Raw genomic sequence first — 25,768 nt, 5'->3', positions numbered from 1 at the left:
CGTTAAGCTCGCTCTGTCACGGGCGCCCTGATGTGCTCACGCGCCCGCTCCCTCAGGTTTAAAAGGCGCGTTGCCCGGCAACAGAAGAAACTGCTGGCTTAGCCGTTGGCCGAGTTGGCGGCTGGACGAGGACGCTCAGAGCCCAGCTCTCGAGAGTTCAAGCAACCGACGGTTCCCCACTGCTCCCAGGAGCGGTTACCTGGGCACTCTGTGCCCCTCCTTCCTGTTCGGGCCCAGGCCGAGGACCTGCCAGTAGGGCTCAGTTGCCTGGAGCCCGTTCAGCCCATCCCCCAGTTCACTTTGCCTGTGGGATCTCCCCGTTGCTCCTGCCCGTGGACTGAGTGGCAGGCCATCCTACAAGCACCCGGACACTTGACATCAGTGGTGTCAAGACAACTCTAAGAAGGTTTTCCGTGATCCTGCAAGCCCTGCCTTCCTTCCTGGGATCCTGCCTTCAATTTGATTGCACAGGTACCACAGCAAGCCAGTGCTGTGTGCTCCGAGTTCCAGGGCGTCCTCCAGCTCAGCCACTGCACTGAGAACATGGACTCTCTGTGGGGCCCAGGAGCCGGGAGTCACCCCTTTGGGGTCCACAACACCCGGCTGTCCCCAGACTTGTGTCCAGGGAAGATAGTGTTGAGGGCCCTCAAGGAGAGCGGGGCAGGGATGCCTGAGCAGGACAAGGACCCTAGAGTCCAAGAGAATCCTGGTGATCAGAGAAGGGTCCCCGAGGTCACCGGGGATGCACCGTCTGCATTTCGGCCCCTGCGGGACAATGGAGGCCTCTCTCCCTTTGTGCCCGGGCCCGGGCCTCTGCAGACAGACCTCCATGCCCAGAGGTCAGAAATCAGATATAACCAGACATCCCAGACCTCCTGGACGAGCTCCTGCACCAACCGAAATGCCATCTCCAGCTCCTACAGCTCCACGGGAGGCTTGCCGGGGCTAAAGCGGAGGAGGGGGCCAGCCTCATCCCACTGCCAGCTGACCCTCAGTTCCTCAAAGACAGTGAGTGAGGACAGGCCTCAGGCTGTCTCTTCAGGTCACACCCAGTGTGAAAAGGCAGCAGATATAGCACCAGGGCAGACACTCGCCCTCAGGAATGACTCCTCCACATCCGAGGCCTCTAGGCCCAGTACACACAAGTTTCCCCTGCTGCCACGCAGGCGAGGGGAGCCTTTGATGCTGCCACCTCCCTTAGAGCTGGGGTACCGGGTCACTGTTGAAGACCTTGACCGGGAGAAGGAGGCGGCATTCCAGCGCATCAACAGTGCACTGCAAGTTGAGGACAAGGCCATCTCGGACTGCAGACCCTCACGGCCTTCCCACACTTTGTCCTCACTTGCAACAGGGGCTTCTGGTCTGCCTCCCGTTTCTAAAGCACCCAGTATGGATGCACAGCAGGAGACACACAAGTCCCAAGACTGCCTGGGCCTACTGGCCCCCTTAGCATCTGCTGCAGGGGTCCCCTCTACAGCTCCCATGTCTGGGAAGAAGCACAGACCACCAGGCCCCCTGTTCTCCTCCTCAGATCCCCTTCCTGCCACCTCTTCCCATTCCCAGGACTCAGCCCAGGTCACCTCGCTGATTCCTGCCCCCTTCCCAGCTGCAAGCATGGATGCGGGCATGAGAAGAACAAGGTGTGGCACTTCTGCTCCTGCAGCTGCCGCAGCAGCCCCTCCCCCCTCCACATTGAACCCCACGTTGGGGTCACTACTGGAGTGGATGGAGGCCCTTCACATTTCTGGGCCTCAGCCACAGCTGCAGCAGGTGCCCAGAGGTCAGAACCAGAGATCCCAGACCTCCCGGACCAGCTCGTGCCCCAAACGAAATGCCATCTCGAGCCCCTACCGCTCTACGGGAGGCCTCCCGGAACGAAAGCGGAGAAGGGGGCCAGCCTCATCCCACTGCCAGCTGACCCTCAGTTCCTGAAACACAGTGAGTGAGGACGGACCTCAGGCTGTCTCTTCAGGTCACACCCAGTGTGAAAAGATGGCAGATACAGCACCAGGGCAGACACTCGCCCCCAGGGGTGGCTCCCCCAGATCCCAGGCCTCTAGGCCCTGTAGATGCAAGTTTCCCCTGCTGCCACGCAGGCGAGGGGAGCCTTTGATGCTGCCACCTCCCTTAGAGCTGGGGTACCGGGTCACTGCTGAAGACCTGGACCAGGAGAAGGAGGCGGCTTTCCAGCGCATCAGGAGTGCACTGCAGGTTGAGGACAAGGCCATTTAGTACTGCAGACCCTCACGGCCTTCCCACACTTTGTCCTCACTTGCAACAGGGGCTTCTGGTCTGCCTGCCATTTCTAAAGCACCCAGTATGGATGCACAGCAGGAGAGACACAAGTCCCAAGACTGCCTGGGCCTAGTGGCCCCCCAGCATCTGCTGCACAGGCCTGTAGTCCCAGCTACTCAGGAGGCTGAGGCAGGAGAACGGCATAAACCCGGGAGGCAGAGCTTGCAGTGAGCTGAGATCGCGCCACTGCACTCCAGCCTGGGTGACAGAGCGAGACTCCGTCTCAAAAAAAAAGAAAAAGAAAAAAAAGTTATTGTGACATTTCTGTATGAAATCAGCCTTCACTACATGGATAGGACCAGCACGCTTCCGTGGCACGACTCTGCAATCATACTACATTTTTTTTTTGTATTTTTTTTATTCCTTTTGAGACAGAGTCTCACTCTGTCACCCAGGCTGAAGTACAGCCGAGATCTTGGCTCACTGCAACCTCCACCTCCTGGGTTCAAGCAATTCTCCTGTCTCAGCCTCCCAAGTAGCTGGGACTACAGGCACACGTCAAAAGGCCTGGCTAATTTTTGTATTTTTAGTAGAGATGGAGTTTTGCCATATTGGTCAGGCTGGTCTCGAACTCCTGACCTCAGGTGATCTACCTGTCTTAGCCTCCCGAAGTGCTAGGATTACAGGTGTATGTTTATTTATTTATTTAAGATGGAATCTTGCTCTGTATTTATTAATTTATTTAGTTGAGATGGAGTCTTGCTCCATCACCCAGGCTAGGGTGCAGTGGTGCAATCTCGGCTCACTGCAACCTCTGACTTCCAGTTTCAAGCGATTCTCCTGCCTCAGTGTCCCAAGTAGCTGGGATTACAGGTGCCTGCCACCACAGCTGGCTAATTTTTGTATTTTTAGTAGAGACAGTGTTTCACCGTCTTGGCCAGGCTGGTCTCGGGCTCCTGACCTCATGAACCACCTGCCTCAGCCTCCCAAAGTGTTGGGATTACAGGCCTAAGGCACCATGCTCAGCCATATTTATTTAATTATTTAGAGACAAAGTCTTGCTCTGTCACCCAGGCTGGAGTGCAGTGGCGCCATCTCAGCTTACTGCAGCCTCCGTCTCTGAGGTTTAAGCGATTCTCATGCCTCAGCCTCCTGAGTAACTGGGACTACAGGTACTCACCACCATGCAGGGATATTTTTTTCTATTGTTTTATAGAGACACGGTTTCACCATATTGGCCAGGCTGGTCTCGAACTCCTGACCTTAGGTGATCTGACAGCCTCGTCCTCTCAAGGCACTGGGATTACAGGCATGAGCCGCCAAGCCCGGCCTCTCACTACATTTAAGTGACGCCATGGCTCATGCCTGTAATCCTAGCACTTTGGGAGGCCAAGGCAGGTGGATCACCTGATGTCAGGAGTTCGAAACGAGCCTGGCCAACATGGGGAAACCCCGTCTCTAGTAAAAATACAAAAATTAGTCAGGTGTGGTGGTACAAGCCTGTAGGCCCAGCTACTTGGAAGACTGAGGCAGGAGAATCACTTTAAGCGGGAGGCAGAGGTTGCAGTGAGCCAATCTCAAAAAAGAAAGAAAAAAAAAAAGAAAAACATATGATGCTGGAGCATCTCGGCCTCAATACCTGCATGAGCACAGTCATGTCCAGGCCAGGGCTGCTGGTCGAGGTCCGGCCCCATCTCTTCCAGCAGAAAGGGAGTAAGCTTGCAGGGAGGCTGGGGGACAAGATCCCAGGATCTCAGCCTCCGCTCATGGATCAGCTCTGAGACCCCGAGTGAGCTGGGGGTGCTCTGTGTGCACTGGTTTCCCCAGCTGTCAAGTAAAGGGATTGGATGAGGAAGTCTTGTCAAGGTGGAATGATCTCAGATTTGGGGCAGCAGTGAATGATCCCGCTCCCTGGGCCATGCCAGTGGCCCGGCCTCGGCTGAACACAGCCCCAACACTCTGGAATGGGGATGAGGGGGCAGTCAGCTCTTGCTCCTAGTAAGAGAGATGCAACAGGGCTCTGTGGCTGAGCTGGGTGCCTTGCCTCACACCTGTAATCCCAACCTTTGAGAGGCCAAGGCAGGAGGATTGCTCGAGGCCGGGAATTTTGAGAATAGCCTGGACAACATAGCCAGACCCCATGTCTACAAAATAATAAGAAAACACACAGCTATAGTCCAAGCTACTTGGCAGGCTGAGGCAGGAAGGTCCCTTGTGTCCAGGAATTGGAGGCTGCATTGAGCTATAATCGCACCACTGCACTCCAGCTTGGGTGACAAAGTGAGACCCTGTCTCTAAAAGAAAAAAAAATCGGCCTGTGAGCATGGGCTTGATTTTCAAACAGGACCCGGAGGGTAGGGACAGACAGTGCTGTCACCCTTAGGTGCTGAACACTCAGAAACGGGCCAGCGGCAGCCCTTCCCTCACCTGCAGACACCAGATTGGGCAGAACAGCACGTGGCACTTGCAGCTCTTGCAGTGAGGGCAGAACCCAGTGTCAACCCTTCTGCCTGTGGAAGGGGCTGCTGAGGCCTGCGGAGAGGCCAGGGTGGAGGCTCGTCCCCTTGTCCAGCCCTTGGCGTGGTCTCCACCAGGTCCCCAGCCCACCAGTGCAGGGCGCCCCTGAGCCTGCTGCTGCCACGGGCCCTGTCTCTACCCAGGACGTCCCCACACCCTCGCAGTGTCAGGGAAATGATCATGGTGGCGGTGACACTCCGCAGGCAGGGCTGCTGAGAGAAGCTGAGAAGGGTCACACCGCAGGCAGGGGCCCGTGTGACAAGCCCCTCTCACCCCGAGAGAGCTGACCAGGCAGCTCACGAGCAGAGCCACATCCCGGGAGTCCGAGAAAGGTCCTGGCTGGGCTCAGCCACCTCATTGGCCACGGGCAGCCTTTGTCGTGTGAGCCTTGCTCTCCTGGGGAGGCTCAGGCTGACGGCTGATGTGGGCATTGCCGAAGGTAACCTGTGGCCCAGTGTATATGGCCGGGTCTCCTCAAGCTGCATTCATTCAAGTAGGACCCAGGGTGCATGCCCATCTCCAGCCCAGGGCAGCTCCCCTGTAAGCTGGGTGAGCTACTGAAGCCAAGGCGGGAGGCAGCTGACAACACCCACAGCCCATGCGGAGGTGGTGGAAAGGCTGGACTCAGCAGCAACACCAAATCCTGGACCAGGCAGAAACCACCCAAGACTGAGGGGCTCGTGCCAGAGCGGTGGCCACAGGTAAGAACCCGGGCCCAGGCTGTGTGGCAGGAATCCTCCATGTCCCAGGGCTTAGCATAGCAAAGGAAGACCAGCCGGGTCACCCTGGTGGCCATCTGTCCCTGTCCCACCTGCAGAGTCAGAACAGCCTCTCCCCAGTGGGGATCATCTCTCTCTGCCAAAATAACAGCGGTCCCTGCCCCAACCAGACTACCCCACTCAGTGGGGTTACGGATGCTGCTCCAGCATCCTAACACTGCCCAGCTGGTGCCTGCCTGTGCTCACCCACACCCCCCAGGCCGGCCTTCCCTGCAGCCTGGGCTTGGCCACCTTGGCCTGATTGAGCACTGAGGCCTCCTGGGCACCCAGCCCCATCACTGCACCTGCTGCTTCCAGCCCCACCCCACCGGCTCAGGGGTTCTTCCCAGCGGCGCTGATCATGAAGTCAACATGCACGCAAGTCGTCTCAGGAAACTTCTTAATGAAAGTGTCGGCCACGGTGGTGTGTAGGTGGCTGAGCTCAGATTGCAGCTGCTAAGACACCAGCCACTTACCAAGAGAAAGCCAGGCTGCTTCAAACCCAGGGCCCACGGCAAAAAAGCATCACTTCCGGCCGGGGAGTCTGGAAGCCACGCCTTGTGGGAGGTCACACTGGCATCTAGGCCTTCGCCTGCATTGCAGAAGGAGAGCCGGGTCCCCCTCCTGGAGAACGCTGCGTTCCCCAGCCCCACACCGGCTTTGCCACCACACAGGCTGTTGAGGCAGGAGGCGGGTAAGACGTAGCTGTAGACCCAAAGCAACCACCAGCCCTGGGACCCTGCGGGAGAGGAGCACTTTTAGAACATGGAAAAGTGTGGTCATCCCATCATTAGACAGCACACATCCTACATAAATAAAAAGTCGTATGGGGAAGGAGGTTGGGGAGGGAATAAAAAATTGGCACAGACATTGATAGACTGGTTTCCAGTTTCAAGGTAACAGATGCACATCATGAGACCAGAGGAGGCAGAGACAAGGCTGGATTTGGCTTTTCTAAGCAACACGTGTTCCTGCGCAGGGCTGAATGGTTGCTGAGACAGAGATGGAAGCCAGGACAAGGGAGCCCACCGGGCCCAGATAGGTACAGAGAGCAGAGGCTCCTGTTCTGTCCTCGCCACCCACGAGGGTGACACTGCTTGTAAATGGTGGCTGTGCTCTCCCAGCAAGAAAAAAGCACAACTAAATCCACACTGCACACAGACGCAGACAGAAAGCCTTCAAGTGGCTCTGTTTTCTGCTCCCTGCCTTGCCAGGTCCACAAGCAGAGAGGAGTGTCAGGCACATGGCCCCGCTGTCAGGCTCCCCAGTGAGCTGCGGGCTCAGCAGGAGCTGCCCACTGACACACAGGGGACACCCACTCCTGCCACCTTGGGAGCGGTTGCCAGACAGAGCCGTACTGGGTGCTGGTGTCATCCAGGGACCCCACACACTTCCTTAAATGTGATCCTGCTTCCCTCTGCGCAGCTGCATCCTCTCCTCCTGCAGGACCGTCTGGAAACTTGGCTCTCAGTTTGCTCTCCCTTCTCTCCTCTGCCTGCCCCAAGCCCCTCTTTCTAAAAAAGTGATGCCACGTTCATGGGATTATTTCTTGAAAATACTTGGCGGCCTCCATGCTTCTGTTTTCTTTGAGTCAGGTAGTCAGGAGGGTTTACAAACAATGCCTGGGCTCCCCCGCAGGTGCCGGCAGATGGGGTAGCGAATGGTCCTGTGCCTCCACCTGCTCCGGGAGGGAGTCTCCCGTCTCTAGGCCTGGCCCCTTCCTAACCCTCCACGTATCCTGTTCTCCAGAGACTTCAGAACCCACTCCTGAGAACAGCGGAGCCAGGCGCTTAGAGGAAGACCAAATGCTGCCAGGACACGGATTGTCCAGGGATTACATTCCAGCATCTTATTAGGTATCTGGATCTGTTGGGGAAAAAATTAGAAACTATGTATAAAACTTACAAATATTCAAGTATCAAAAGGTTATTTAGGATGAAAGTTTTAAAACAAGTCATCAGCAAGCTGCTACCACCAAGTGGAGACTTATACAAAAGTTGAGCGAGTCCACTGAGCTGAGAGGACAGAAATGAAGTCACCTGTGCTGGGGCAGGGGCAGGGACACTGGGGGCAGGGAGTGTGTGGGCAGAGAAGCCAGAGAAGTCCAGGCCTGTGGAAGCCAAACAGGAGAGCGTGGGCCGGAAGGGCGGTCAGGATCGGGGGACGAGGTCGCTCTCCCTGGAGAACGAACCCTAAAGTGCGTAGCCTGGGATTCCCTCCCTGGGGGTCCTGTCCCCCGACGTTTCACGGGCCTTCTGAGCTGCCTTCCAAGGAGGACTAACACGGCAACAAAAGACCCATTTCTGCACAAAAATCCCTCTGGGAAGAAAAAGAAGAAAGCCAAGAATGGAGTCAAAACGCTACCCAGTGCTGACCAAGCCTCTCAAACCCTGTTCTAAGTGGACTGTGGTTTCTAAGTCAGGGAAATGGAAGAGGCCCCACCCACACAGGGACAGGGCCATGGCCCCCACAGGATGAAGCAGCAGCGTTTATTCAAGATACAACAGTGAGGGAATCCAGTCACGTTCCCTTCTCCCCAGAGAGGGCGCTTCTTGACAAGTGATTCAGTAGAAATCTTTTGGACTCTATAAGTTAAGTTCATAAAAACCACTGCTTTCACCCTGTCTCCCAGGGCCAGGCCTGGACTCCGAGATGAACTGGTTTGGGGCGCCCTCGGGTGGCCACATAAAAAACCCACAGTCTGAGGCCAGCCTGGGGCTTTCAGACCTGGGCGGGATCTGCCCAGGCCACCTGTCCTTCTGCTTTGGGCCGCTGTCTCTTGGCAGATGGCCTGACACCTGGGGGTGGCCCAAGGATGCCTCAGAAAATCTTGATTCCCACTCTACAGATGGCCTGATTAGCCAGAGGTTTCCAGGCCGTCTGTCCGCCTCCAGGAGATGGACTGGGACCTTTAGACATCGGTGGAGAACAGGATGCTCTGTCCCTTGCTGTCCAGGGCAGGGATGGCCTCCAGCCGCAAGAAGTACAGCAGCACCTCGACCTGCCCTCGCGGAGTGGGGAAGAGGAGAGTGGCTCGGAAGGGGGCGCACAGCTGCTGGTGGGAGGTCTTTGGGGCCCAAGATCCCAAGTCCACCTCAGGTGCTAGAAACCCCTGCTGGTGTCATGAACCCCTTACAGTGAGACGGGGGTGGGGTGGGGTCCTGACAAGGCATGACTTGTTGGGTGGGGGGTGGTTATTTATTTTAGAGATGCACAGGGCCTTGCTCTGTCCCCCAGGCTGGAGTACAGTGGCTCCATCATGGATCACTGCAGCCTCTAACTCCTGGGCTCAAGCAATCCTCCTGTGTCAGCCTCCCAGATACCTAGGATTACAGATATGTGCCCCAATGCCTGCCTAATTTTTCTTTGTATTTTTTCTGGAGATGGGGTTTGCTACATTGCCCAGACTGGTCTCAAACACCTGGGTTCAGTTGTCCTGCCTCGGCCTCCCAAAGTGCTGGGATTACAGGCATGAGCCACCACACTCGAACACTTGGGGTGGTTTTAAGCCCCCAGCAAGGTGCACCAGCAGGACCAGGAGGTGGCCTAGGCACCCCCTATCACTCCCATCCATGCAAACCTAGGCAAGTCCCTGTCTCTGAATCTCAGCCACCACCACATACAATGCAAGTCGGAAGATGGGCAGGACTGGGGGTGGGGCAGGCAGAGGCCACCTCTGTCAGGCTGGGGTTGCATGGGCTGGAGGCTGTCTTCCCATACCTGGGACATGACCTCCAAGGACCAGCTGTCAGTCATGGTGATGGGCTGGCTGGGGTTGGCAGGGAGCTTGCTCTCCTTCTCGGAGGGCCGGAGCAGCGTGGGGCCAAACACCGTGCCAAGGTTGTGCAGGGACATCTTATTGACTGCCTCCTTCTCTGCCATCCTGTAGAGGACCGAAGCAGAGGGTGCTGTTTCAACGCCACCACCAGGAGAGAGGCAGAGGGGCTGTGCCGTGCTAGAGTCCTCAGGGAGGGAGTGACCTCGACCCTGGCTGTGCTGCAAGCTGACTCCAGCCTTGGTACTTCTGGGTCTCAGTGGCCCAGGACAAGGGGCCAGCTCTGGGCTGATGGGGAGGTCTTCCTGATGTGCTTGGGAGGGAAGGGGGGGCGGTCCAAATGCACTGCTGGCCACGGCCAAAGCTCTGAGCTCTTTGTTAAGGCCACAGTGCAGAGGGAGGAGGGTGGCAAAGAGGAGAGGCAGGGGCGGGGGTGGCAGTGGTGCTAGTCCTTAGAAGCAGTGAGTTACTGCAGACAGGGGTCGGGGGAAAAGGTCCTTGGTGCTGGGGGTCTGGTGGGAGCAGAGGGGCACCCCACGGCCTGGAGACCTGGAGTCCTGGGCAGCCACAAGAGAGCTGGGCTACCTTTCCAGGTGGTCTAGAAGGAAAAGGAAGGTGAGCAGGTTGGCCTCCGGCAGGGACGACAGCAGGTTGAGCATGCAGCTCTTCTTTGCAACTGGGTCTGAAAGAGCTGCAGGAGGCAGTGGGTCACTCCCCTGGGTTACGACAAGCCGGAGACCTCTCCCGAGGTGGTCACATGGAGCGCCAGGGACACGAGTCCTTGCGCAGTTTAGGCTTGTCATCATCGTCACACCCACAGCGCTGGCCGCCAGTGAGGACCCTGTGAGGGGCACCTGTGTGGGGTGTGAACCACCTGAACGCCTTTTCTCTACCTCGCAGGGGTCAGCAGCACCCGGCAAACAGCAGCAGGAGGAGCCGCTAGAGCAGCTGCTCATGGGCAGAGCTGCCCTCGGGCAACTCCTGCCACCACCCCCTCCCCAGGGAGCCCAAGGCAGGGGAGGCTCAGCATGGAATGAAACAGGGGAGTGAGGGACACAAGGAGGTGGGAAGTGGGAGGGTCCCAGCCCCACCAAGTACGCAGAGACCCCCTCGACATCCTGGACACCACAGGGGCACCTGCAGGCTGGGAGACCAGGTCCTCTGTGCATGGGCCCGGGAGGCAGACCTGCCCTAAGGGTGATGCACAGGCTACAGGTGCTGCACGCTCCAGCGCCCACTCTAGACATCAGCCTCCAGGTTGACTAAGGGTCAGGTCATGTTTGAAACCATGCTTGGCTGGACCAGGACCCATGGCAAGAGCACCTGGGCACCAGTGTTTAGCCCTGGTCTGCAGGAAGGAGGACAGCAGACTTTAGGACCCCACAGCACGGCAGTGCTGACCATTTCACCCACTTGGCCTCCTTGAGAAATATGGATGGGGAGCCCTCTGGGGATGGGCAAGGCCTTCCAGGATAGGCTCAGTTTTGGTCCCCTGCTTTTTGAGGTTGGGTTAAAATTCCGACCATGGCAGAGGAAGCACAGCTCGGGTTCCCACACCTCACTTTTCACAGCCTCTGAGGGCAGCAGTGCACGTGGAGGAGACGTCTCCCATGAGGCCAAGGCCTCCAGTGCTCACCGATGCCCTCTGCGAAGTTGGGGTAGAACTCGTCAGTGAAGAGGGGCTCGGGCAGCTCACGGAAGTACAGCTTCAGCATGCCTGCGATGGCGTTCACGTCCATCTCGCTCATCATCACTGACACGTCCTTGTTATCTGGAAAGAGCACGGAAATGCAGCGGCCTCCTTGAAGATCCTGAGTGAGTCACCCACCATCCCTGCCTTGGCTAAAGCACCGTCCCTGCCATGCTGACCACTGTGTGGGTCCCTCCTGGGCTTTGAGCAGCTCATCTGACTCCTCCCAAGAGCTGTGCATGGTTCTGTGTCTGCAGAGTTGATAGGGGTGCGTGGGCATTCCCATTCCTCTCCCCTGCTTGGCCTGATGTGATGGCCAGGAGGAGGCCAGCATGGCAGGACACAGCGCCTGCGTGGGGATTGGGTGGCTCTGCCCTGTACATAGCAACCACCCCTGCACCAGTGTCTTCTGATAGCAGGAAGGCCGTGGGAGAATCTGATTGGTTTCAGTGTTTGAACCGGTGTCTTCCTTTGGACCCAATTGGCCATTGGTGCTTACATCCTCACCACAGGCCAGGTTCATTCTGGGCCCTCAGAGGGAGCTGAAACTACCACAGGGCCCTCCCAGGGATGCTGGGCATTCTAGGGGTCCTGGTCAGGGTGGGTGGTGTGTGCTGCAAAGAAGGATCTGCAGGCACAAAATCCTGTTGCTTTGAAGATGCTGGGAAGGACCCTCTGGGGTCTCAGTGCCCTCCCCTGGCATTTGAGGCAGGTCCGGGTCCTTCAAAGCCTGTGAGGGTTGGTGAGATGGAGGCGGAGAGGCTGCAGCCCCGGCCTGCGCTGAATTTCATCAGTGCCCTCTGCCCACCACATCCTCATACAGGGCAGTGGACAGACCGCACTGAGTCCTGGGCTTCCACCTCCTGTCCAACCCCAAGGCAGGAAGGCCAAGGCCCCGCAGAAGCCCCTGGTCCACTGCACCAAGTGGCACGAGTGGGTACGATGGTGTAAAAACTGGCTTCTATAGAAGCTGTTTGTACAACTCTTGTTTTCTCTTTTTTAAAAATAATAAAACAGTAAATGAAGAAAAGACACAGAGAAGGATGTGACATGCCTGGGCCATGGAGCACTCTGAGATCTCATCGTGGACACCACTGCCCACACCTCCATCCCGTCCTGCGCAGGCCGACACTCACTGACGTTGAAGCCTGCCTTCAGTGCCTGGATGTCTGCGGCCACCCCAGACATGCGGTAGATGCCCACCTCCTCCATGCCTCGGCGCTCGATCTCCTCCACGCACTGACGCACGATGTAGGGCACCTTGGACCTCTCTCTCCTGCGGGAGGAGGGAATGTTCTCAGTGTCCTAACAGCCCTGCTTGGGCCATAACACAGGAGACCTGCTCCCTATCTGCGCACCCGGAGGTGGGGTGAGGACGGTGACGAAGGTACCCAGGTCTGGGGCTGCACACAGAGCCTTCTGCATGCCTGTCCTCCCTCTGCAAGCTCTGTCCTCATTGCATGTACTTTCTCAGGAACCTTTCAAGCGGCCAGAACCCCTGCGAATCACACATGACCTTTGTGGGAAGGTCAGGAGGCCTGTCTAAGTCAAGTCAGCACGGGAAGGGCATCTGACAGATTCCAGGCCTGGGGTTAGCAGCCTGTGCCCCCGGCTGGGAGGTCAGACCCGGTGTTGGTCCTGCCACCCACGTGCTGTGTGAGAGGAGAATCCCTGACCCCTGCCCTGGGCCTTAACACACATCCGACGAATGAATGAAGGGTTGCCTCAGCACCGGTGCTCCAAGTCCTGCGATGCTAAGTGCTTTTCTCCTCTGAGTCTTAGCAATGGACAATTCCAATACCTCCACACAGGACACTAGAGTAAGAATCCTTCACAGTTAGAACGCAGTGCTGTGCGGAGGCCTTAACTTGAGTTCTGTTTTGCACCTGGATTTACCAGCACATCAAAGCTGCTTCGCAAGCCCCCTCATCAGCAGGGCTTATGTGGGGGAGCTGCTGATGGAGTCCTCGCTGCTCATGCCCACAGCCCTCCCAGAGTGCTATGCGAGTGGCTGCCGTGCAGTTGGGGGTGGGGCGTGGTGTTTAGACACAGATAGGAGTCCAGGGTATGACTGATGGAGGCCCCGGCCCACGTGACCAGCAAGGTCAGAGGCCCAGCCAGATTCCATCCTGGGGAAGCAAATGAATTCTCAGAGGAAGTGGTCTGTGTCTGTATGAACTGCTCTCAAACCAACAAATAGGCTTCTCTTGGCAACTGACTCGTGACAAAGGGTTCAAGATTGTTTGAAAAAAAAAAAAAAGGGGGGGAACAGGGAGGCAGTAGGTCCTGGAAAAGTAAATTCTTTATTTTACAATAAGAAAGTGATTACATATTTTATTTTTTTTACAATGGTGGAAAATTAGAAGTGATTGTGAAAATGATGTCTACCCGCCTTGCTGATGAGTAGGATGTGATTTGGCTCTTTAGGAAACTGAATTTGCAGAACTTAAGAATATTGATTTATAAAGGGCATGGCCATTGACCCAGTCCATCTTATGCAAATCTGGATGCCATAAATAATATTTAAAAATGAAAGTATTGGGGTGGAGGTTGCAGTGAGCGGAGATCGCCCCACTACACTCCAGCCTGGTCAACAGAGTGAGACTCTGTCTCAAAACAAAAAAAAAAAAAAAAAAAGGAAGAAGTCATTCCCAACATTGCTCATCAAATTATGACCATAAATTTCCAGGATCAGACTAACGGCTAAAGAGACTGATGCATCAACACCAGGCAGAGAATAAAGCAGATTTTTTTTGTTTTGTTTTGGAGAGCCTCTAGGAACTTGAAAAATACATATGCCACACTCTTAAGACCCGGTGGTTCTTAATCAGGGATGTTCATTAAAATGCTGGAAAACTGTAAAGACTTCCAGGTCCCATCCAAGGAGATTTTGCTTCTGATTGACTGGCTAGTGGCCTGGCCATTGGTATTTTGAAAAATCCCTCCAAGTGATTCTTTTACATCCCAGCTAGAAAACCCTAAATTAAAGGTGAAAAACCAGACACCAAGTGGCATTTAAATAAATGTCAACTTTAACTCCACAAAGCATCTGGTTGCACGTGGACAGAAAGAGAAGGAAAGAGGGCCCTATATCTGGATAACTTGGAAATGTGCTCCCCCTAGCAAGATATCTACCAAAATTAAAACCATATTTGAGGATGCTGGCACTGCGAGCAATATATAAATGATGCATGTAACATCATTTAATATGATCTTATTTTTAAAAATGAGTAGAGTGGTGTTTTCTAGCTGTTAGTGTTTCCAAATATCAATGTAGAAATTAGCCTTCTGCAGCTGCAGAGGCAATTCAGTTTGCAGCTTGCTTGCATGTGGCCTAGAGCCACCCAGCCTGATATGTACTAATTTTTTGTTTAACTTGCCAGAGTAGAAACTCAGTTTCTGGGCCAGGCATAGTGGCTCATGCCTGTAATCCCAGAACTTTGGGAGGCCAAGGCAAGCAGATCACAAGGTCGGGAGTTCAAGACCAGCCTGGCTGACATAGTGAAACCCTATCTTTGCTAAAAATACAAAAATTAGCCCGGCATGCTGGCAGGCACCTGTAGTCCCAGCTACTTGGGAGGCTGAGGCAGGAGAATCACTTGAACCTGGGAGGCAGAGGTTGTGGTGAACTGAGATCATGCCCCTGCACTCCAGCCTGGGCAACAGAGTGAGACTCCATCTCAAAAAAAAAAAAAAGAAACTCAGTTTCTGGTTACATCTGATCTTTATTTTTTATATATCATCTAAGCTATAAAGTTATATTCCCTATTTGTGATCTTAAAAGAAGGACTCCAGGAAAGTGTTCAAATATTCATATATCTAAACTGGAACATATGTTTATATTTTTAAAAGTAGCCTGAGAGGTTGGCAACTAAAGTCATATGTTGAATGATCATTTCTCAAGAGTTTCATTTTATGGTCTTTCTCTTGTTCTGTAAAATGTGGGCATGGATAGATATAAAGTGCCTGGTGTCCATGCTTTTGTGAAATCCCTTCCTCTTCCATGTGAATGGGACCTGTGACTTTCTTCTAACCCAGAGAACACAGCAAAAATGATGTGATTTATCTGAGTCCATTGATGACATTGATTACGACTTCCCTTCACCACATTATTTAGGACTGCGTCGTAGGAGACTGGGACACATATCCACTTTGCTGGCTTGATGAAGTAAACTGCTAAGTTGAGGAAGCCCACATGGCAAGGAACTGTGGGCAGCCTTCAGCCAACAGGCAGCAAAAAGCTGAGCTCCTTGGAGCTACAGCCTCAAGGAAGTTACTTCTGCTAACAACCTGAAAAAGCTTGGAAGCTAGTTTCTCTCTAGTGGAATTTTTAGGGAAGAGCATGGCCCAGGCAAGATAAATAATGTAAGTGGAAAAACCTGTCAACAATAAAGGTTTTAAAGGAAAAAACAAAAAACATGTAATTTAGAAAGTAACTGCCAGGAAAAAAAAAAAAGAGACTGGGCCAGTGGCTTACTACACCTGTAATCCCAGCACTTGGGGAGGCTGAGGCGGGTGAATCACAAGGTCAGGAGATCGAGACCATCCTGGCTAACACGGTGAAACCCCGTCTCTACTAAAAATACAAAAAAAAAAAAAAAAATTAGCCGGGCGTGGTGGTGGGCGCCTGTGGTCCCAGCTACTGGGGAGGTTGAGACAGGAGAATGGCGTGAACCCCGGGACGTGGAGCTTGCAGTGAGCCGAGATCATGCCACTGCACTCCAGCCTGGGCAACAGAGCGAGACTCCATCTCAAAATAAATAAATAAATAAAATATAAGGTCTCAGGAACGTAAAGATTGACATTTACTCCCAAACTATTAATATATGTCCACCCACCTTTCTTGTAGCAAAATCTTAACTTGACGTTTGTTTCAATAGTTATTAAATTTAATTATAATGTCCTAGCCCAAAATACAGTAGAGGTAAACATCCAAGGTACTGGCTTGAGGCCACTGGCCCTGTATCTATAAAGGAGAGGGAGACCATCAGGGGAGGGAGGGTAAGAAAGGGAGGAAGAGGGCAGACAAGTTATCAAAAAACAACAGTAGGCAGGGCACTATGGCTCATGCTTGTAATCCTAGCATTTTGGGAAGCCAAGGTGGGCAAATTGCTTGCACTCAGGAGTTCAAGACCAGCCTGGACAACATGGCAAAACCCCATCTCTACAAAAAATCGGCCAGGCCTGGTGGTGTATGCTTGTAATTCCAGCTACTTGGGAGGCTGAGGTAGGAGGATCACTTGAGCCTGGAAGGCAGAGGTTGCAGTGAGCCGACATCATGCCACTGCACTTCAGCCTGAGTGACAGAGTAAGACCCTGTCTCAAAAACAAACACATCAGTTATTCATATTTCAGAGTAAGGACAAAACATTTTTAAGTAGCTGGCAAAGGACATCCCTATATTTCAGAGTAAAACAAATAGGCAATGCTTATCATTTGACATATTTTTAAACATTGTATCTGAAAAGTGAACAAAGAAATGAATGTGCTTATGATTAAATTGACTTTGTTACTTTGTAAACTTGTAGCTTTAGACCTGTCTCTTAGCATCACCAAGCCTTGATCTTTTCATCTATAAAATGGGCATGGTAATGCCAGCCTTGCTATGTTTATAGGTCACTTAGGAATGAGGTATGTATGGTGTTGACCATGGTTTCTGGCAAGTGGCATATATTCATTATACCATAGCTCTTTTCAGAAAGCTAAGTCACCACGTACATGTCAATGCAACCTGCTGAAAATAGGCATGGAAAAACTAGAAAATCTAGAAAAATTAGAAAATCACTGAAGAGGATTTTCTTTAAAAAAATACATACTTTAGTGTTTGAGTCATGAAGTCCTTGCCCGTGCCTATGTCCTAAGTGGTATTGCCTGGGTTTTCTTCTAGGGTTTTTATGGTTTTAGGTCTAACATTTAAGTCTTTAATCCATCTTGAATTAATTTTTGTATAAGGTGTAAGGAAGGGATCCAGTTTCAGCTTTCTAAATATGGCTAGCCAGTTTAGTTCATGTCCTTTGTAGCGACAGGGATGAAGCTGGAAACCATCATTCTGAGCAAACTATCGCAAGGACAGAAAACCAAACAGCGCATGTTCTCACTCATAGGTGGGAATTAAACAATAAGAACACGTGGACACAGGGTGGGGAACATCACACACCGGGGCCTGTCGTGGGGTGGGGGGATAGGGGAGGGATAGCATTAGAATAAATACCTAATGTAAATGATGAGTTAATGGGTGCAGCAAACCAACACAGCACATGTATACATATGTAACAAATCTGCACGTTGTGCACATGTACCCTAGGACTTAAAAGGATAATAATATATATATACATACACACATACACTTTATCCATGCATCTGTTGATAGACACTTAGGTTGTTCCCTATCTTGGCTGTTGTGAATAATGTGCCATAAATATGGGGGTGCAGGTACCTCTCTGACATACTGATTTCAATTTCCTTGGATATAGCCAGAAGTAGGATTGCTGGGTCATGTGGTAATTTTTTTTTTTTTTTTTTTGAGACAAAGTCTTGCTCTGTTGCCCAGGCTGGAGTGCAGTGGCATGATCTCGGCTCACTGCAGCCTCCACCTCACGGGCTCAAGCAGTCCTCCCACCTCAGCCTCCCGAAGTGCTGGGATTACAGTGTGAGCCACTGCACCTGACCTCATGTGGTAATTGTATTTTTAGTTATTTGATTAATTTTTGTGCCGTTTTTCATAATGCCTGTACTGATTTACATTCACTCCAACATGTACTAGGGTTCCATTTTCTCCACATCCTCTTCAACACTTGTTACCTTTCTTTTTTTAATATTAATCATTCTAACAGATATAAAGTGATATTGTTGTGGTTTTAATTTGCATTTCCCTAATGATTAGTGCTGCTGGGCATTTTTTTAAAAGAAGGAAATTATGTCATTTGCAACAAAATGAATAAACCTGGAGAACATTACACTAAGTGAAAGAAGCCAGACAGGATAGATAAGTACATGATCTCATGTATATGTGGAATCTAAAAAAGCCAAATTTATAGAAATAACAGGTAGAAAAGGGGTTATGAGAGGCTGGGGTGTGTTGGGGGGTACAGCAGACAGGGAGATGCTGTTCAAAGGGTACAAAGTTTTCATTAGGAGGAATAAAGTTTTGAGATCTATTGCACAGTATGGTGGCTATAGTAAATAATAATCTATCATATATTTCAAAATTGCTAAGAGTAAATTTCAAATGTCCCACCACAAAGGTGAGCTGGATGATGGATATGTTAATTAGCTTTATTTAATCATTCCACATTGTGTACACATATCAAAACATCACATTGTACTCAAGACATCTATACAATTGACTTGTCAACCAAAATAATAAAAATAAAGTCTATAAAATGTAAAATAGTTTTGTTACACAGTTTAGTGTTCTTTAAACCATATTGGCTGAGCTTCCTCTTTGCCTTGCCCCTTTCTCAAGTCTGGGTGCTGAATGGTAAATATAGAATCAGTTAATGTTTACTGAGGATCTAGTATGTGCCTCACACTGACCTAAACATTTTATAACTAATTTTTTCAATACCCTGGTGAGGTGGTTTTTATGATTATCCCATTTGGCTTGAGCTAGATGATCTCAGAGAGGTTAAGAAATCTTCAAATCTTCACAAGGCTGCAGAACTACTAAAAGGCAAGGCCTGTATAATTACTTGTTGAAGGAATGAATGATATGAGACTGTTTATTGTTTTAAATTATGGAACAATTTATACTTTGTAAAATGCAGAAGTTTTAAATGTTCACTTCTGTGAGCTTTGACAGTTATAGACCCTCATGTTACTATCCCAGTCAAAATATAGAACATTTCCAGAAAATCCTCTCACATCTCTTTCCAGTCAGTACCTTCATGGGTCAAAAACAACTACCTTCTGAGCTCTGTCACCAAAGATAAATTTTTCTTATGGCTGCATTTCAAATAAATGGAATCACACATCCACACTTTTCAATGTCTGGCTTCCTTCTCTAAATACATTTTTCTGTTTTGAGATTCACCCATGCTGTTGTGCGATTCTATAGTTCTCTTTTAATCACTGAATATATACTGTTGTGTGATACACCATGGTTTATTTATTTATTCACTGTCAAAGGACATTGGCTCATTTCCAAGTTTGGGTTAACGTAAATAAGACTGCTATGTTAGATTCTAGTACAAGTCTACGTAGGTGTACGTGTGTATACATACACATACATACACATACATACACACATAGACTTGTACTAGAAAAAATGTACTAAATGTACTAAAAAATGTACTAAAATGTACATTTTTATTTTTCTTGGATCAACAGCTTGGAGTAAAAGTGCTGAGTCATAGGTTAAGTGTATATTTAATATTACAAGAAATTGCTACACCATTTCCAAAGTAGTTGTTTTACAATTCCACCAGTTTTATGAGAGTGTTGGTTAATTCTTATTTTCATCAACATTTAGTATTATCAGTCGTTTTGATTTTGCCATTACAGTGGCTAAAATGTGAAATCAAATGAAATTGTATCTTGAGATTTTAACTTGCATCTTCCTGACTGTTAGTGATGTTGACCATTGTTTAATATACCCACTGGCTATTTGTATGTCTTGCTTTGCAAACTGTCTGTTCAAGTTTTTCTACTTTTTAATTGGCCTGTTTGCCTCTGTATTGTTAACTTGTAAAAGTTCTTTATATGAGATGAATTATTTGACAAATGCATGTATTACATATATTTCCCCAAGTCTGTGGCTTGCATATTCATGTTTATAGTGTCTTTTGATAACCTTTAATTTTCACTGAAGTTTAACCTATAAATGTCTTTATGTAGGGTTAGAGCTTTCTGTGTCCTTACAAGAAACTTCTACCTGTTCCAAGGTTAGAAAGAAGTACCCATTTGTTTTCCGTATGGAGTGAGAATGGGATGCAAATATTTATATTTTGTTATTCAAGCAGCATTTGGTACAAAAATTCTTCTTCCCTCTTTGAATTCCCTTGTCAACTTCTGAGTTCACTTTTTCCTCATGCACATTATTGGTAAGCATTTTGTGTAAAATAAACTGCCTTTATCAGAAGTGTACAATTTTTTCAGATATCTTTCCATAATCCTCTAGATTTGAAAGGTGATTTTTGGTTCTCTTGCTGACATGTTATAATTATAGCTCCCTTCTGCTGCCATGTGATTTGCAATCCTTTTTAATCTTTCCATTTAAGACCTTTCTTACTCCTATATAAAAACTATAATTGTGGCCAGGCATGGTGGCTCACACCTGTAATCCCAGCACTTTGGGAGGCCGAGGTGGGTGGATCATCTGAGGTCAGGAGTTCGAGACCAGCCTGGGCAACATGGTGAAACCCTGTCTCTACTAAAAATACCAAAATAAGCTGGGTGTGGTGTGTGTGCCTGTAGTCCCAGCTACTCGGGAGGCTGAGGCAGGAGAATCGCTTAAAGCCAGGAGGTGGAGGTTGCAGTGAGTCAAGATCGCGCCCCTGCACTCAGGCCTGGGTGACAGAGCAAGATTCTGTCTCAAAAAAAAAAAAAAAAAAAAATCCTATAATTGCTTTAGTCATGCATATATTGAAACACTGTGTACAATAATTAGGCAATTGAATTTTTGTATTTTTCTAAAATTCAAAAGGAGAAAAGCTAATCTAGTTTGTAATGATATAGATTCACTAAGACACTTGTTTCTGTCTTTAGGATAGAGCATTCATACTAACAGTGTGAGTAGTATGGATAAACCAGCATATATATTTTTTATTATGTTGAATTTCAATATCCAGCCGAATTCTGTCTAGTTGCATTACTTACAACATTGTGTTACAGTTTGAAATCAAGAAGAAACTTGTGAATGACTTTTCTACAATTTCTCTGTAAAACATAGATTTGTCAGATAACATAGTACCTTATGTGGTAATTAAAGAAATTGTTACAATGAGAACACATGGACACAGAGAGGGGAACATCACACACCATGGCATGTCAGGGGGTTGGGGGCAAGGGGAGGGAGAGCATTAGGGCACATACCTAATGCATACCAGGCTTGAAACCTAGATGACGGGTTGATAGATGCAGCAAACCACCATGGCACATGTATACCTATGTAACAAACCTGCACATTCTGCACATGTATCCCAGGACTTAAAGTAAAATTTAAAAAGAAATTGTTACATAAATGTTTTAGTGGCTTTAATTTTTAATTAAATTGTGTTAACTTTTTAGGACACGAAAAATTAAAATATGAAAAGTAAAATTTTACTATATGCACAGAAAAATCTCATTTACTTCTGTGAGGCAGGAAGTCTTATACTCTGAGTGGGGAAATATAAATGGCACCTAATTCCTGCATTTGATTATTACCGTTCTTGGCTGTTGCCACAATAGGTTTATCTTTTTACACATCAAAAAAAGGAAATTATGAGGAATCATATATCTGAAAGGGAGTGTTATCTGACAACAGCAGAAACTAACACTACAGAGGGACAAAACATACAAGACCCAATACCCCCAAAAAAACTGGGCAAAAAAACCTGAATAACAGACATTTCTGAAAAGAAGGTATGATATTGATTAAAAGGTAAAAAAGGTGTTTCTCAACATCACTGGTCATCACAAAACTGTAAATAAAGACCACACTCAGATACTATCTAACGCTAAGTAAAATGAATAATACCAAAACAGAAATAATTTAAAAATAAAAGTTCAGGGTGCTGTTAGATATAGAGATCCTCTTATACACTATTGGGAGAAATTTCAATGATGAAACGCACTGAGAAAACCACTTGGAGCACCCTCAGAAATTAAAAATGCAAGAACTGTTTCATCTAGTAATTCTAACCGTGGTTGTGAGCTTAAAGAAAATGAGATCGGTCTGTTGAAGCAACAGCTGCCTTCTGAGGTTTAGTGACCTACTACTCACTAACAATGAGTAACCAAGGTATGAAATCAACCTACCTGTCCACCAACCAATGAAAGGATGAAGGGACTTCAGCATACAGACATGATGAAATATGCCTCATGCATAAAAATTCATGACAACATGTCATTTGCAAAAACACAGACGAACCTGGAAGACATTACATTAAATGAAATCGACTAGGTAGAGAAAGGCAAACACTATGTGATCTCACTTATATGGAATCCAAAAAACTTTACCTTCAAGCAGAAGGTACAGTAGCGGTTTCCTGAGGAGAGGGGAAGGAGGGGGATAGGAGGGGGATGGGAGGGATCGGTTATGGAAACAAAGTTACAGTGAGTTTGGCGAAACACATTTTGGTTTTCTATGCCACAGCTGGGTAACTCTGGTTAACAAAATATTGTATTTTTCAAAAAACTAGAAGGGAGCAATTTGAATGTACTCACAACAAAGAAATAATACCTCAATGAGGGAATAGTTATGATAAGTACCCTGATTTGATCATTACTCAAAGTATACATGTATCAAAATGTCCCCAAAGAAAAAAACATGTCCCAGCATAACTTCTAATTGTGTATGTTATTATACATGGCAAAAATTTAAGAAATATGAATATAAAATGCTAATATTCACATAGAACCACTAATGGCCCTGAACCTCTAAGGAATCCTGAGAAATACAAACTAAGTTGGGAGACTCACAATTCCTGATAGCAAATTACATTGCAAAGCTGTAGGTAGCCAATATATATGGTCATGTGATGTGCTACTGTGCTCTCCAGCCTGGGTGAGAGAATGAGACTCTGTCTCAAAAAAAAAAAAAGAAAGGGAATCATGTAAGCGATAACTCAATCACTGGTTGTTATCAAACATATACACAGAAAAAAAATACAATGTAGCAAAATACATATCCAAACCAATACAAAGAACTTGAGTAGACATCTCTGCAAAGATGACACAAAATTGACCAACATGTAAGAGAAACGGTCCTCAACGTCTCTCATCAGAAAAAAAATGTACCTCAAAACCACATTCAGATGCCGTTTCACTTTTATTGAAATAAATGTTACTAAAAAGTTTTTTTTTAATTTTTTGAGACAGGGACTCAGACTTTGTCACCCAGGCTGAAGTGCAGTGTCGTGATCCCAGCTCACTGCAGCTTTGACCTCCCTAGCTCAGGTGATCATCCCACTTCAGCCTCTCAAGTATCTGGGACTACAGGTGCACACCACCATGCCTCATCCTCCCAAAGTGCTGGGATTACAGGCATGAGCCACTGTTCCTGGCCACAAAATTTTAAAAAGAATGCTGGTATGGATTTGGAGAAAAGGGAACTCTTATACCCTGTTGATGGGAAGATAAATTAGTACATATTCTATGGTAAAAAGTTGGAAGTTGCCATTTTCAAAAAACTGAAAATACAATTACCAGAAGGTCAATGTGGGCAGATTACTTGAGCTCAGGAGTTCGAGACCAGCCTGGGCAACATGGCAAAACCCTGTCTCTACAAAAAATTTAAAAACTTAGCCAGGCATGGTGGTGTGTGCCTGTGGTCTCAGCTACCATAGACTGAGGTGGGAGGGCTGCTTGGGCTGTGGAGGTAGAGGCCACAGTGAGCTGTGATTGCACCACTGCACTCCAGCCTGGGTGACAGAAGAAACCCCGTCTCAAAGAAAATGACAGAAAATGCAAATACTGTAAGATCTAGCAATCCCACTACTGGGTATAACTCCAGAGCAAATGAAATCGGCACCAGAGATCAGAAAGACACAATGGGGACAGGAGAGTTTCTTCATGAAATCATTTTGAGGAAACTGATATCCATATGCAAAAAAGAAAAGAAAAGAAATAGGACCCTTCTGTTACACGATACACAAAAATCAACTCAAAATGGATTAAAGATTTCAACACAAAACCTGAAACCACAAAACATTATTAAATTCCTGTAAGAAAAGATAGGGGGAGCTTACTTTCAGGACAACTTGAATCCATGCTCATCAGTTGGAAAGAGTTTCAAAAAGAAAAAGAGGAATACATAAGGGGTAAAAACCTCATGGAGAATGGAATGGTTTGTGAATGATTTTTTTAAATTGGGGACCAAAATCACAAGCAAGGAAAGCAAGAACAACCATGTGAGGCTACAAGAAACTGAAAAGCTTCTGTGCCACAACGGAAAAAATGAGCCCGAAGTTTGGACGAAAGTTTTGAGGAATCATATAACTGCTAAGGGGTTCTTACCGAAAATATACAACACATTAACAGTACTAAATAGCAATTTAAAACAACAACAAAAAATAATCCACCCCAAACTGGGCAGAGGCCCAGAACAGACATTTCTGCAAAGAGGACAAAAAACCCACACCGAGGAGTCCCTCGCCCCTGGTCAGGCGGCCACGGTGGGAGGGACACGAGAGGACACGCGCTGCCCAAAAGTGAAGAAGAGTGACCCCTGGGTCCTGATGGCAGGAACGAAGATTTAAAAATGCAGCAAGGCCCAATGCAAATCCTCCCTCTGAGGCTTGGACACGAGGCAGCCAGCCAGAACTGGGCCTGGCCCTGACTCCAACCTGAGCGGGGCTTCCCTCTCTCTCCCTCTACACAGGGGAGGTTCCCTCAGAAAAAGTCTTTTTCTGTTGTTGGTTTGGTTTTTTTTTTTTTTTTCAGAACTAGAAATGTATTTATTTATTTATTTATTTTTAATAAAAACCAAGATTTTTTTATTATTATTATACTTTAAAGTTTTAGGGTACATGTGCACAACATGCAGGTTTGTTACATATGTATACATGTGCCATGTTGGTGTGCTGCACCCATCAACTCGTCATTTAGCATCAGGTATATCTCCTAATGCTATCCCTCCCCCCTCCCCCCCACCCAGAAAAAGTCTTAAACCCCTAAAAATACCACAGTCTGCTACACTTGACACCCTCAAAAGCCTTCAGAGAATGAATACCACTGTAAAATAAATACTAAAACACTACAAGAGAAAGAGGAAAACCAGGGAGAACAGGAGAGGAATGAACAGAACATACCAGAAAACTAAAGCTTCTGTACTCACCATGCAGGAAAAATGCCAGGGAAAAGTGCATGGCAGCTTCCTCCTCAGCACTCAGGGCCCAGACAGGAGCGGTTTTCTCCCCAGGACACAGCTCCAAGTCGTCCAGAAGCCTCCGTGATGCCCCTCCTGGCGGGTCCTGAGGGTATCAGAGCTCCTCTCCTCCTCACGGTGGATGCCGCCACTCACTCCATGCAGCACCTGCGGGGAGAACACTGCAAGAGCACGATGTGGGGCAGAAAAGGTGGTTGGGGCGCCCCCTGATGGTCACGGTGCAGAGTGAAGAATGATCTCATCCCATGGTCAGCATCGGCCCAGGCTGCGGCCCCATCGCCCAGGAACTCCTCCCGCTCCTGCTCGGCGTGGGGTGCCACAGCCACCTCCTACTCTTCTGCTACTGTCAGTGCTGCCTGTCTTCTTGGTGCTCCAACGCTGACAATTTGGGGAGACATAAACACTTAGGCTATAGCAAGGAAAATCCAGAATGGTGGTGGAAGAGAAGGACTTAGCATCAGTCACAGTGTGAGACCAGCAGCAGCAACAGGACCTAGGATTCATTCCAATGAGAATCACCTGGAAATCTCCCCCAGGAAAAGAGATCAAACAGATTCCTGGAGGAAATGCTCTTGGGGTTTCTTTAAAGAAGCTAGTGGGACTAAGTAACACAAGACTGGGGCTTTTGTGGAAAGAGTGATGTCCACTAATAATGTCCTCTTAAGGACTGAACATCTCTTCCCAAATAGCTGAATGTGATCGGCAGTAGGCATCAGCTGAGACCTTTTATGACGGCCCTTGGGTAAGGAATCACTCAAGCTCCC

The 25,768-nt window shown here is 48.7% G+C and overlaps 2 pseudogenes across 1 annotated transcript, besides 2 other annotated features; one reads left to right on the top strand and one right to left on the bottom strand.

Moving 5' to 3' along the window:
* On the top strand, window positions 88-15,392 carry POM121L7P (POM121 transmembrane nucleoporin like 7 pseudogene; annotated as a pseudogene).
* Window positions 5,894-25,164, bottom strand: BCRP2 (BCR pseudogene 2; annotated as a pseudogene). Its single transcript, NR_037566.1, has 6 exons — window positions 24,954-25,164; window positions 12,179-12,251; window positions 10,922-11,056; window positions 9,871-10,139; window positions 9,231-9,393; window positions 5,894-7,376 (listed from the first exon to the last, which is right to left on the bottom strand). The product of NR_037566.1 is annotated as a BCR pseudogene 2 (transcript).
* Window positions 24,797-25,768: an enhancer, noted in NCBI's record as "H3K4me1 hESC enhancer chr22:21456701-21457672 (GRCh37/hg19 assembly coordinates)". NCBI's record gives its function as "activates a minimal SCP1, AML or CMV promoter by ChIP-STARR-seq in primed H9 embryonic stem cells {active_cell/tissue: H9 hESC(primed)}" and the evidence as "EXISTENCE:reporter gene assay evidence [ECO:0000049][PMID:30033119]".
* Window positions 25,299-25,348: an enhancer, noted in NCBI's record as "active region_18696". NCBI's record gives its function as "activates an Ori minimal core promoter by ATAC-STARR-seq in GM12878 lymphoblastoid cells {active_cell/tissue: GM12878}" and the evidence as "EXISTENCE:reporter gene assay evidence [ECO:0000049][PMID:35858748]".

This window comes from Homo sapiens, chromosome 22 (assembly GCF_000001405.40).
Source record: "Homo sapiens chromosome 22, GRCh38.p14 Primary Assembly".
In the NCBI taxonomy this organism is placed as follows: Eukaryota; Metazoa; Chordata; class Mammalia; order Primates; family Hominidae; genus Homo; species Homo sapiens.
Note: the sequence above shows the minus strand (reverse complement) of the source record. Positions and strands in the feature narration are given on the sequence as shown.